Below are 12,100 nucleotides of genomic sequence, written 5' to 3'. Positions count from 1 at the left end.
ATACCTTCTCTGTTTGGAAATGAAGATAGTAGAATGGTTAAGATGATGAAGAAACATAGGATGTGGTAATCCAGATGCTGAAGTCAAGTTTATGATTGCAATTAAATTGATATGTGAGAATCATTGATGAGTTTTGGAAATCAAATCCCCCAAATTTATAAATATTTCATGATCAATTATGCAACACAGCTGCAGTTACCAAGTAGTAAACCTCATAAGAAAAGTTGCAGTTGCACAATGTTTTCAGAATTACATTTGTCTAATTTAAGCTATACAACAGAGTGTGTATGTGTGTCACGTATGTGCCCATGATAGTGTGATAGTGAGGTTGGCCTTCCTTGATAAAATACTAGTATTTATTTATAATGAGATTTATTGCAATTTTGCCTTCTTACTTTTTCTTTGTTCTTTAATGTCTATTTAGATTTTTAAATTTTGCTTTGGCTCCTCTGGTGCTTTAAGTGCCGGAGGCTGTGGTTCTCAAACAGAAAAGTGCAGACTGTATACTCAGGCTGAGCCACAAATATATCATATGATGACCTTGGAAAAATCTTAAATTATATAGTACAGAGCCTGAGGTTTTGATTGTAAGACAATTGTCCCACACTTTGAATGCCTAGCCTCATTAATATAATGTGATAATCCGTTTTTCTCTTATGAGTGCTACATGACATATATTTACTTGTCCTAATTAAATTGAGTTAAAAATAAACTCTAAGAATGTGTTGGCATGCCTGGAGCTTTCCTAGAGATCAGCAACGTCAGATCTGGGAATCACTTTTCTGAGAATATTACAACTTGACCAGGCCATTGCAACCTCATTTCCATCTTTATTCTCAAAACCTCGGAGGAAATCCCCAACTAACAAAAGGATTTTTATAAATGAAGTCAGTTCTCTGTTTTGCCGTCCCTTAAAGATTCATGCTTACTCACCTTGGAGTTTCATTCCACCTGCAGAATCCATTCATCATTCATTTAACAAATATTTTCCCTCACTTCAGTTATTTTTCTATTTTATTTTATTTCCCAAGCCCATCCACATTCTTTTATAAGCAGCCAATCTGATGTGTGTAATGTATATCTTTGTGTTTGTGCTTTTGCAAAATGTATATTGCTGTCTGTATGCATGTATTTTTAAATTTTGTGTATTAGATATTATATTTTGTGTGTTAGATATTTTTGTGTTAGATATCTAATTTCTTTCATACCTCTTACACTCTGCACTACATTTTTGGATACAACTCTATTGCCATGTACAGCTCGTCCATCATTTTCAATTATTTTATAATTATTACAAACCCTTTTGCTAACTATTAGATATAAAGGGTTGAAGAAGAAAATTCATGGTTTCCCTTTCCACAGAGCTCACATACTAGTTTAGAAAAAACATTTTAAAAACCCCATATACAGTATGGTGAGTACTTATTATTCATTTTTTTCAAAAATATCTATCAAATGCTTTCCGTGTGTTAAATATGATGTTAAGCACTATGGATAAAATAGAGAACAAGGCAGTAGTGATAACTGTCCTCAGGAAGCTTACATTCTGGAGGATTATCCAAGCCAAGTATTTAAGTTCAGTGGCAAATAACTAAATGGTTTTATGCAACAGAGCATGATAAAGAAATTTGTATCTTTATTCTGGATGAAGTATGAATAATGGGTTAGACAGAAGCAAGACTAGACTCAAGAAACAAGTTAGTTGCTGCAAAACAATTGAGAAACTATAGTGACTTCAAGAGGGCTGGTGGCACTGGAACAGAAAAGAAGAGAGCGATGTGACATATTTTGGAAATGGTACAGACAGGATTTGATGATAGATTAATTATGAGGGGTAAAGAGGAATCAAGTCATGTCCCTGAGTTTCTATTCGAGAAACAGAGATGGAGAAGTCTAAGCATGAATCAGGTTTTTGGGGAGAAAAGCAAAGTTCTCTTTGGGTGATGATGTCTATGTGGCATCTAAATGGAGGTATCAAACAGGCAATTGAGCATATGGAGCTGATTCTCAGAGAAGAGCTACAGACTGAGGATGCATATTCAGGAGTCACCACATATGGATAGTCTTTAAAATCATGGGAATGAATAAGAATGTAGAGAAAGGCAAAGGGGGCCCATTACAGATCCCAAATGTTTGGAGACCAGATGGAAGAGAAGGAGTCAGCAGGGAAATTATAAACAAGTGCTCAGGGAGGATCTACTGTATTTGGGTCATTTAGGTGTCTTTGGTTAATGCCCTTAGCCAAAGCTGTTTTTATGGAAATGTTTTTCAAAAGGGGGCCTATATGGAATGGTGTAAATCCGGAAGTAGAGATGGTGCATGCAGACAAATCTTTAGTGAATATGGGCTGAAGGGGAGAAAATAAGGTAGGGCCATATCTAAAGGGAAATTTTAGATTAAGAATTTTTTTTTAGGTAGGTGAGACTCCAGCATGATTAAAACATGATACAAAGATGCATAGATAATGGAAGTTTCCTGAGATACAGAATGAGATAAAATCCAAGCTCAGAGGCAGGGTCCAGCTCCTAGTGAGAGGAAGGCCAGCTCCGGGTTGATAACACCCACTCCATGCCTTTCTCTGAATACCATTTCACTGGCAAAATGAGATAAGAGGAGGAGCTAGTTTGAGAGCTCTGTTGAGATGCGTTTCACAATGAGCAGAAGGCAAAGGACCTACTCCTTGAAAAGTAATTTGTTCAAAGTTCACTGTCAAAAACACTAGGCCTCAAAACAAGAAGACATCTATAGAATTTAGCAGATAATCAGATTCAATATTGTCACAGGGCAAATGTGGGTTGAGAGAAGGCTGTCTGGTGGAAGAAAATTACTCCCTTCTGTCTGGGAAGAGACTACAACAGGCTTTGACAGAATCCCAGAGAAATTGGGCAGCCTTTCATTATATTGATCAAAAAGCTGAAAGCGCCCTGCTTTTTCAGCTTAAGCAGGCATATGGAGCAGAAGACAGATTCTCCAGGATAAATAAAATTCAGGAACATCAGAAGCAAGCGGGAGTGATTAACCAAATGGGGCGTGGTCAGAAGACATACTAAGGTCTTTTAGCATTTCGTTGGTCCCTGGCCTGGGGCTACCACTCTGGAACTTTAGCTGTGAGTCTCCTAAGTCCTATGATGAATTTTCTGCTTAGGCTTGGGAAATAACCACACACAAATTAAACAGTATTTAATAACAGCTAAAGGATAGGTGTAAATATATCTAAAAATTATTTCTTGAAATCTTAGGCGAAAGGGTACAAGTGTTTAATTTCCTTAATCATCGTGTTCTCACAAATTAATGCAAGTGTTTTGGCAGTTTCTGAGTTGACTTCTTATATACAGCAATAATTTTACCAAATCACATATTATGTTTTATTTTTCAAATCTTTATGTCATTAAGAAATACTGGTAGTTGAGTCACAAAGTTATACCCAAGGGGCCAATATTGACTTGGGAACAGCAACGTTGTAGCCAGAGTAGCTGAGAAGAGATAAACCACCTTTGCAGGATTCGATTCTCAAACCCAAACTTATAAAATAATATCAGAGGTAGTAAACAGAAGGGCAGTATATTTTGTTACAAAGAAAGCTAACTTGGGAACCGGTCTCTTAGTGCTATCCTGCTGCTCACATAGAGGTATAATAATTTCAGGCAAGTTGCTAAACTCCTCAGTCTCTTCATCTGTAGAGTATTCACTAGGTACTCAGGAATTTTTAAGATCTCTCCCAGTTTTAAAATCCCTTACTCTGATGTATTAATCAGGATTCATGCAGTTCTAAGTGACAGAAAGAGACCTCAAACTGACTTCAGTTAAGAGGGGAGATTTATTGGTTCCCATAACTGCAAAGCTATTGGCAGCCTGCATAGCACCTTCTGAGAATGGAAAAAAGGGGCTCCAGAGTGAGCATTTGGCTTGGCAAGCAATGGGGACCTTTAGTAAAAAAAAAAAAAAAAAGAAAAAGAAACAAACGAACAAAAAACAATAAACAAGTCTCTTTCTCTGAATAGACATACCCTTACTCCCAGATGCACACAACAGATTTCAGCACCTGTTTACCCCTTAGGCTGGGAATGCTTTGCAGTTCACAGTTGGCTCAACTCTGTATAGTGGCTCTGAATCCTGGGGTAGTCTGGCATCATTGCCAGCTGGATGGATGGACTCGAACACTGTCACCAGGACTTACTCTTTCCTCCTGGCTCTGCTTTGGTTGTTGCTGGATCCACCCCTTACCCCGTGCGTGTGTGTGTGATAGAGAGAAATTAAGGAAGAGAGAAGGAGAAAGAGACAGTGACCAAGCTGGGTCATATGCTAATTCTTAAATCTGAGGGTGGGGCTGGGGTCCTGTCAAACCACAGGGATTGAGAGAGCAGAAGACCTCAATGTGCTATTCCTAGAGAAAGGAGATGGATGCCCAGATGGAAAAGATAATCCATGCCCTTTTATGTATCGCTATGGTTTTCAATCAGCTTACCGAGCAGTCTTAGATGATCTGAGGAATCCCCCTCTGAAGTTTTTACATCGGCAAAAACTTTGACATTGTATTACCCATGCTGAAAATGGAGTATATTTGCACACTGCTGGTGGCATCATCAATTGGCATGAGGCTTTGGAACTCTATTGAGTAATTTTGATCAATAGTCATAAAATCTGCTTGTATCGTGTGGTTTAGTAATACCCCTGAGAACTCATTTTAGGGAAATAACTCAAATTTTAAAATTCATGTATATGAAAATGTTTATTCAACATTATCTATAATAACAAGTTGCAAATGGCCTAGATGTCGACCACTGGGGAATAGATAAGTCAATTAAAACTGAATAAAATGTTAAGTAGCCATTAAAATGGCAACTATAAAGGTTTTATGCTAAGTGAAAAAAGTTATGTACAAAATTATGTAAACCATTTGATGACTACCAAAAAAAAGCTAAGCGTATAGATAGCCCAGAAAGTAACACCTAAAAATAGAAATCAGGTCAGTGTTTCCAGTGCAGGGGTGATGAGGATATTGTCTTGTCTTTAAATTTCTGACAATATCAGTATAATATTGTTTTATAATAAATAAAGTTAATTGAACTTCAATAAAAGTTCAATAAATATTTTATTAAACAAAAATAAATAAACACACCCCTGAGTTCTGTGGTGAGAAGATTTATTTTCAGGGACTCTGACCTGAAGAGAGGTCTTTTTGAAAAATTTTGTTGGAAGGCTCAGAATGCATATGTCTGCAACAGGCCTTAATTAATATTGTTCAAAGGAAGATAAAGGGGAAAAGCATGGTTATGGGGCAAGAGGGAAGACAAAGTTGACTTTAAAAAGTTAATGTTTTAGTCACATGAGTAATACATACATACACTCTCATTCTAAAACATTAAAAGATTACAGCTAACATATCAGCTAAGGCTGAAGTTCTCTTTGACATCTGTCATAATCTGCTCAGGCTGCCATAACAGTATACTACAGACTGTGTGGCTTAGACAACATAAATTAATTTTCTCACAGTTCTGGAGGCTGGGAAGTCCAAGATCAAGTTCTCACAACATTTGGTTTCTGATGAGGGCTCTTTTCCTGACTTGCAGATGGATGCCTTCTTGCCTTCTCACTGTGTCTTCACATGGACTTTCCTCCCTGCTGTGCAAGAAGAGAGAGAGAAAAAGAAAGGGATTGAGGGAGAGGAGAGAGAATTCTCTAGTGTCTTTTTTTTTTTTTTTTTTTTGAGATGGAATCTCACTCTGTCACCTAGGCTAGAGTGCAATGGCACGATCTTGGTTTACTGCAACCTCCATCTCCTGGGTTCAAGCGATTCTCCTGCCTCAGCTTCCAGAGTAACTGGGACTACAGGCACCCACCACCACACCTGGCTAATTTTTGTATTTTTAGTAGAGACAGGGTTTTGCCATGTTGGCCAGGTGGGTATCAAACTCCTGACCTCAGGTGATCTGCCTGCGTTGGCCTCCGAAAATGCTGGGATTACAGGCGTGAGCCACTGTGCCTAGCTGTGTCTCTTCTTATAAGGACAATAATCCCATCGACTTAGGACCCCATCCTGCCCCTTCTGACCTCATCTAACCCTAATTACTTCCTTATTCCAAATGCAGCCATACTGGGGGTTAGGAATTCAACATATGAATTTTGGGGGTACATACATGTTCAGTCCATAGCAATATCCCCCTGTACCTAGATGCTTTTTCCCCATTTCTGACTTCCATAATCAATTTCTTTTGTTTTTTAATTTTTTTTATTATACTTTAAGTTCTAGGGTACATGTGCACAACATACAGGTTTGTTACATATGTATACATGTGCCATGTTGTTGTGCTGCACCCATTAACTCGACATTTACATTAGGTATATCTCCTAATGCTATCCCTCTCCCCTCCCCCTACCCCACAACAGGCCCCGGTGTGTGATGTTCCCCACTCTGTGTCCAAGTGTTCTCATTGTTCAATTCCCACCTATGAGTGAGAACATGTGATGTTTGGTTTTCTGTCCTTGCAATAGTTTGCTCAGAATGATGGTTTCCAGCTTCATCCATGTCCCTACAAAGGACATGAACTCATCCTTTTTTATGGTTGCATAGTATTCCATGGTGTATATGTGCCATATTTTCTTAATCCAATCTATCACTGATGGATATTTGGGTTGGTTCCAAGTCTTTGCTATTGTGAATAGTGCCGCAATAAACATACGTGTGCATGTGTCTTTATAGCAGCGTGATTTATAATCCTTTGGGTATATACCCAGTAATGGGATGGCTGGGTCAAATGGTATTTCTAGTTCTAGATCCTTGAGGAATCGCCGCACTGTCTTCCACAATGGTTGAACTAGTTTACAGTCCCACCAACAGTGCAAAAGTGTTCCTATTTCTCCACATCCTCTCCAGCACCTGTGGTTTCCTGACTTTTTAATGATCATCATTCTAACTGGTGTGAGGTGGTATCTCATTGTGGTTTTGATTTGCATTTCTCTGATGGCCAGTGATGATGAGCATGTTTTTCATGTGTCTGTTGGCTGCATAAATGTCTTCTTTTGAGAAGTGTCTGTTCATATCCTTCACCCACTTTTTGATGGGGTTATTTGATTTTTCTTTGTAGATTCTGGATATTAGCCCTTTGTCAGATGGGTAGATTGTAAAACTTTTCTCCCATTCTGTAGGTTGCCTGTTCACTCTGATGGTAGTTTCTTTTGCTGTGCAGAAGCTCTTTAGTTTAATCAGATCCCATTTGTCAATTTTGGCTTTTGTTGCCATTGCTTTTGGTGTTTTAGACATGAAGTCCTTGCCCATGCCTATGTCCTGAATGGTATTGCCTAGGTTTTCTTCTAGGGTTTTTATGGTTTTAGGTCTAACGTTTAAGTCTTTAATCCATCTTGAATTAATTTTTGTATAAGGTGTAAGGAAGGGATCCAGTTTCACCTTTCTACATACGGCTAGCCAGTTTTCCCAGCACCATTTATTAAATAGGGAATACTTTCCCCATTTCTTGTTTTTGTCTGACCTCCATAATCAATTTCTAAGTATAAGCATGTATTCAGTTTTTTTTCTAAAACAGAAAATAAAATGTACCCATAGATTTATGAAGTTATTTTTATTCTGTGCACTTTAAAAAATCCTCCTGTGCATGGGCTTCTTTAACTTGTTTTTTGTAAAATGTATCTTGGTAAATTTTCATAGTAGTATATGGGTGCTTGTTATTTTTTATCTGCTGCATAATATTCTAATACATAATTACCAGATTCTATTAACTATTTTATTTTTTATGATTGACATATAATTTGTACACATTTACAGGGTACAATGTGCTGTTTTCTTACATGTGTACATGTGTAAAGATCAAATCAGGGTAATTAGCATATCTATCACCTTACACATTTATCATTTCTTTGTGATGAGAACATTCAAAAGCCTATCTTCTAAGTACTTGAAACATGCAATCCATTACTGTTAACTCTAGTCTCTACTATATAATAGAACACAGAACTTATTCCTATCTAAGTGAGTTTGTAACCATTGACTGATCTCCACCCAGTCTATTAACTATTTTAAATAACTATCACCATATTGATAATTATTTAAGTCATTTCTTTTTTTTTCAATCACCAACAATTCTGCAATGAGAATCTTTATACATGCCTTTTTGTGTACAAAGGTGAATGTTTCTCAAAGATGACTTGCTGGGTAACAGAATATGCACATTATCAATTTTAATAGATATTGTCCAATTGTCCTCTAAGGTGACTATACCAATTTATATTCTCACTAGTAATTTACGAGGCTGTTTGAACATTTGGCATTATCAACATATATTTGTCAACATTTGGTATTATCAACCTTTAATATCTTTGCCAATCTGATGAGTACAAGAAAATATTATATTACTGCTTAAATTTATATTCTCCTGATTGATGTTGAAGGTGAACATCTGGGATATATATTGACCAATTTCATGTTTTCCTAAGTATTGCCCCTTTATGTGCTTTTCCCAATTTTTCCTATCAAATTGTTTATCACTGTCTTATTAAATTTGTATAACTCCCTTATATATTCTAGATGCTAATCCTTTGTCTGCAAATTAGGTTGCAAATATTTTCTCTTAATGTGCCTTCTTTTTACTTTATTTATGGTATATTTTGCCTTGGAAAATTTTTATTTTGGAAATAGTCACACTTTCTATTTTTTTCCTTTACAGGTTTTGCTTTTAGTGTCTTAAAAAGGCTTTCTCTCCCCCAAGATCATAATTGCATTATCTCATGTACTCATTAAACCCTCATATTTTTAACTCTGATATTTTGTTTTTGTTGTTCTTTTACTTTTAGATATTTAATCCATCTGAAATTTATTTCCCAAAGTGGCGTGAGATAGGAATTAAGTTTACTATTTTCCAAGTGGATAGTCAGTTATCCCAGTGCAGGAGGTTGATTTTTGTTGTTGTTGTTGTTGTTGTTAGAAGCTCATACTCTAAGAAGAGAAAACATTTTTGTATTTCACTGTTTCTGGAACCAGCTCAAGAGGAAAATCAACTGGTGTACACGGCCATGCCCAACACTGTCCCGAAGAAATTGACCACACACTTGGAAGCGCAGAACCTATGGTGCATTCATTCTTCATGCAACAGACATAGGTTGTAAGTATAATTTTAGTCAGGTTAGACATTAAGCCTGAATCAAGAGCTTTCTTCAACATTGATCCCTCTCAAAAGCAAATAATCGTTTTCATAAATCAAATTACCAACCTCTGCTTTATCTCCTTTGTAATTAAGATTTTCCTATAATTTGGTTTTTGTTTGAATGAGTACACATTTAAATGTAAACAATTTGCTAAAATTGTGTTAGAGAAAGATTTGCCATAACATTACACACATTTTGGACCAACCTATATTTTGTTAAATTAGCGGTAACCTTAAACGCCACATGCCTCAAAGACATTTTGGACTTATGTGTATTTTCCCAAAGGGCTGAAACAAGGAACCAACTGCATAGAAGACGCGTACCCTCTTTGCCTGAGCACGCAGAGCAGTAGGTGTGTGGGTGCTGACTCTGCCTCGCTACTTCACACCTATAAAATTTTGGCCAAGTCTTCTTAATATTTGGTTGCCTCATTTGCCCTGTCTGTTGAATGAAAATCATAAAAATACTTACATATTAGAATCATTATTATAAAAACTGAATGGGATAACACTCCAAAGCTCTTTGAACAGTATCCACACGGCCATTGTTTCAGTGTTTGGGGAAGATTTCAGGCCAGAAGGGTGCTGCTTTGATAATCTCCTACTTTTGTCTTTTTTAAAACTTTGCATGTTTTCAGTTTATCTTCTCTTTTCCATTATCACTACTTTTCTCGTGTGTATTTTTTAAAATAGAGTCTTTGTCCCAAATTCATTATCAAAGAAAGTTGCAAGGTGTCTGTGGCAAGCACCTTGATCCCCACACCCCGGTTTGATTCCAAGGAAATGTGAGCCTCAATTATGGGCTCTCTCACAGTCATCCTGGAAAGTTGACCCCAGGCCTGAATTACGCCAATGCAGAAGACACTGGGACAATTGATGGGGAAATCACACATTCCCCCATAAAGCTTCAAGAGCATGCTTGCCATGTTTATTCACTAGGGTCCTTTTTGTACTCCAAACACTTATGGCTTGGAGATTTCAGACACATAATCTCAAAAGAAAAAAAGAAGCTCAGGGTTGCCTGGGCTCACCTGGATTTTCTAGGTCTCAAGCCTTTGCTTTTTCACACATATGCTGCCTCCCCAAGAGCCAAACAACGTCTCAGCAGAGCCCCTCATTTTATAGAACCAGGTCTCTGTGCCCCTGTAGGGGCTTCTCTGTGAACTCCATCGTGGTGGAGCAGGTTTCATGTTTTTGCATCTACCCTGACAACTGATAAAGTCCTTGTCACCCAAAAATGGCCACAAAGTGCTTGGGATCCTTTTGCCTGCCATAGTAGGGGTGAAGTAGGAGATAGAAAGATGAGTCAGTGAAGACACTGAGGATATGGGAGACCTTGTTCATTTTGGAGAAGCCCCAGAGAAGAAAAGACTATAAAAAGGAGGTTTGAAAGGCAAGAGATGGGTGGGAGTCACAATTAGGAGACAAGAAGCACACAGCTGTATAGACATCAAAACATAGGAAAGAATTTCTGCCAGGAAGGGTCAATGTTGGGATGATAAGGTTAATAAGGATGGCCAGCTTGGTGGACACTGTGCCCAAATCTAGAAGGAAAGGACTCTCTGACATTGAGACAGGGCCAGACCTTTCATCCTTCCATTCCATGAAAAAATAAGAAGTGCTAAAACAAGCTTCACCTGTGCAAATATTAATATTTAATTTGTAAAATAAAAATGCAATGCTTTGGGGTATGTATGTTATGCATTTTTTTATATATTTCATATACATATAAATACGTTATATATAACATTTTAATGTATATGGTGTATGTGAACATTATTTGAAGAAAAGGTCAAAATAGATCATTAGAGAACTTTTCTGAATGTGAGATTCAAGCCACTAGCCCTCCCGGCCCCTCCTTTATGTAAGCCAGCCCAGGCAAGAGCGGGCCTGGGATACCACAGGACTCAGCTACGCCTGAAAGGGAGGCTGTTAAGGTCTCAATGTTTGTGTTCTCTCAAATTTCATATGTTGACACCTTAACCTCCAGTGTGACTGTATTAGGAGTAAGGAAGCTTAAATGAGGTCATGGGGTGGGGCCTTGATTCTATGGGATTAGTACCCTTCTAAGAACAAACACCAGAGAACTAACTCTCTCTCTCAACATCCCTCTCTCTCTGCTCTCATGCATCAAAGAGAAGCCATGTGAGGACATGGTGAGAAGGTGTTGAACTGTAAGTCAGTAAGAGAGACCTTGCCAGAACACAAATTGCCCAGAACCTGGATCTTAGGCTTCTAGTCGCCAGAATTTTGAGGAAATCCATTTCTGTTGTTTAAGCCATGAAGCCTGTGTTATTTTGTTTTAGCAGCTCCAGCTGACTAACATAGATCATAGATGCCTAGATGGAGGCGATGACATAAAGCTAGCTCTCCTTTTCCTCGTGGTCTGTGGAAGTGACCTTCTGAAGTAACCAGCAAGTAGCATCATCCAACAAAGTGGATTAAAAAAAAAAAGTACCACAGGCTGTCTACTGCAACATTAGACAAATAAAGTACATTTTTAAAAACCTCTACATTTGGGAGCATTTCTTGACAGAAAGCTGCTCATTTGTTTTAAATATTACCTAGTTTATAGTACATGCCTCAGTGGTCTTAATGTGATTGGCATTAAATGTGGTAAGGTGTGGTTATTCACTCATTCACTCACCAAATATTGACTGCAGGTATAGGATGTGCCAGGTGCTGTTCTAATTGCTGGGGTTATGGTGGCTAATGAAGGAGTCCATTTCTGCCCCGATGCAGCTTACCACTAAGTGGTAGGACACAGGCATTAAACAAACAGGTAAATACATACAAGGTCAGATAGCAATAAGTGCTATGAAGAAAAGTAGAATAGGGTAAGGGGAGTAGGAAGAAGTATGGGGAGTTGCTATTTATGTGGTCAGGGAAGGCCTGGCTGAGACACTGACGCTGGATCAAGGACCTGCAGGAGATGATGGAGTGAG

The 12,100-nt window shown here is 37.9% G+C and overlaps 1 long non-coding RNA gene across 1 annotated transcript in view; it reads right to left on the bottom strand.

Annotated features, from left to right (window-relative positions):
- The window catches only part of SEMA6A-AS2 (SEMA6A antisense RNA 2), a 36,783-nt gene that overhangs the window by 14,607 nt on the left and 10,076 nt on the right, over positions 1–12,100 (bottom strand). The window contains exon 2 of the long non-coding RNA NR_147170.1: positions 5,492–5,619. This is a non-coding gene — a long non-coding RNA (SEMA6A antisense RNA 2). The remainder of the gene's footprint in view (positions 1–5,491; positions 5,620–12,100) is intronic.

Source organism: Homo sapiens, chromosome 5 (genome assembly GCF_000001405.40).
Source record: "Homo sapiens chromosome 5, GRCh38.p14 Primary Assembly".
NCBI classification, from domain to species: domain Eukaryota; kingdom Metazoa; phylum Chordata; class Mammalia; order Primates; family Hominidae; genus Homo; species Homo sapiens.
The sequence above is the reverse complement of the archived record's forward strand: the minus strand, read 5'-3'. Positions and strand labels throughout refer to the sequence as shown.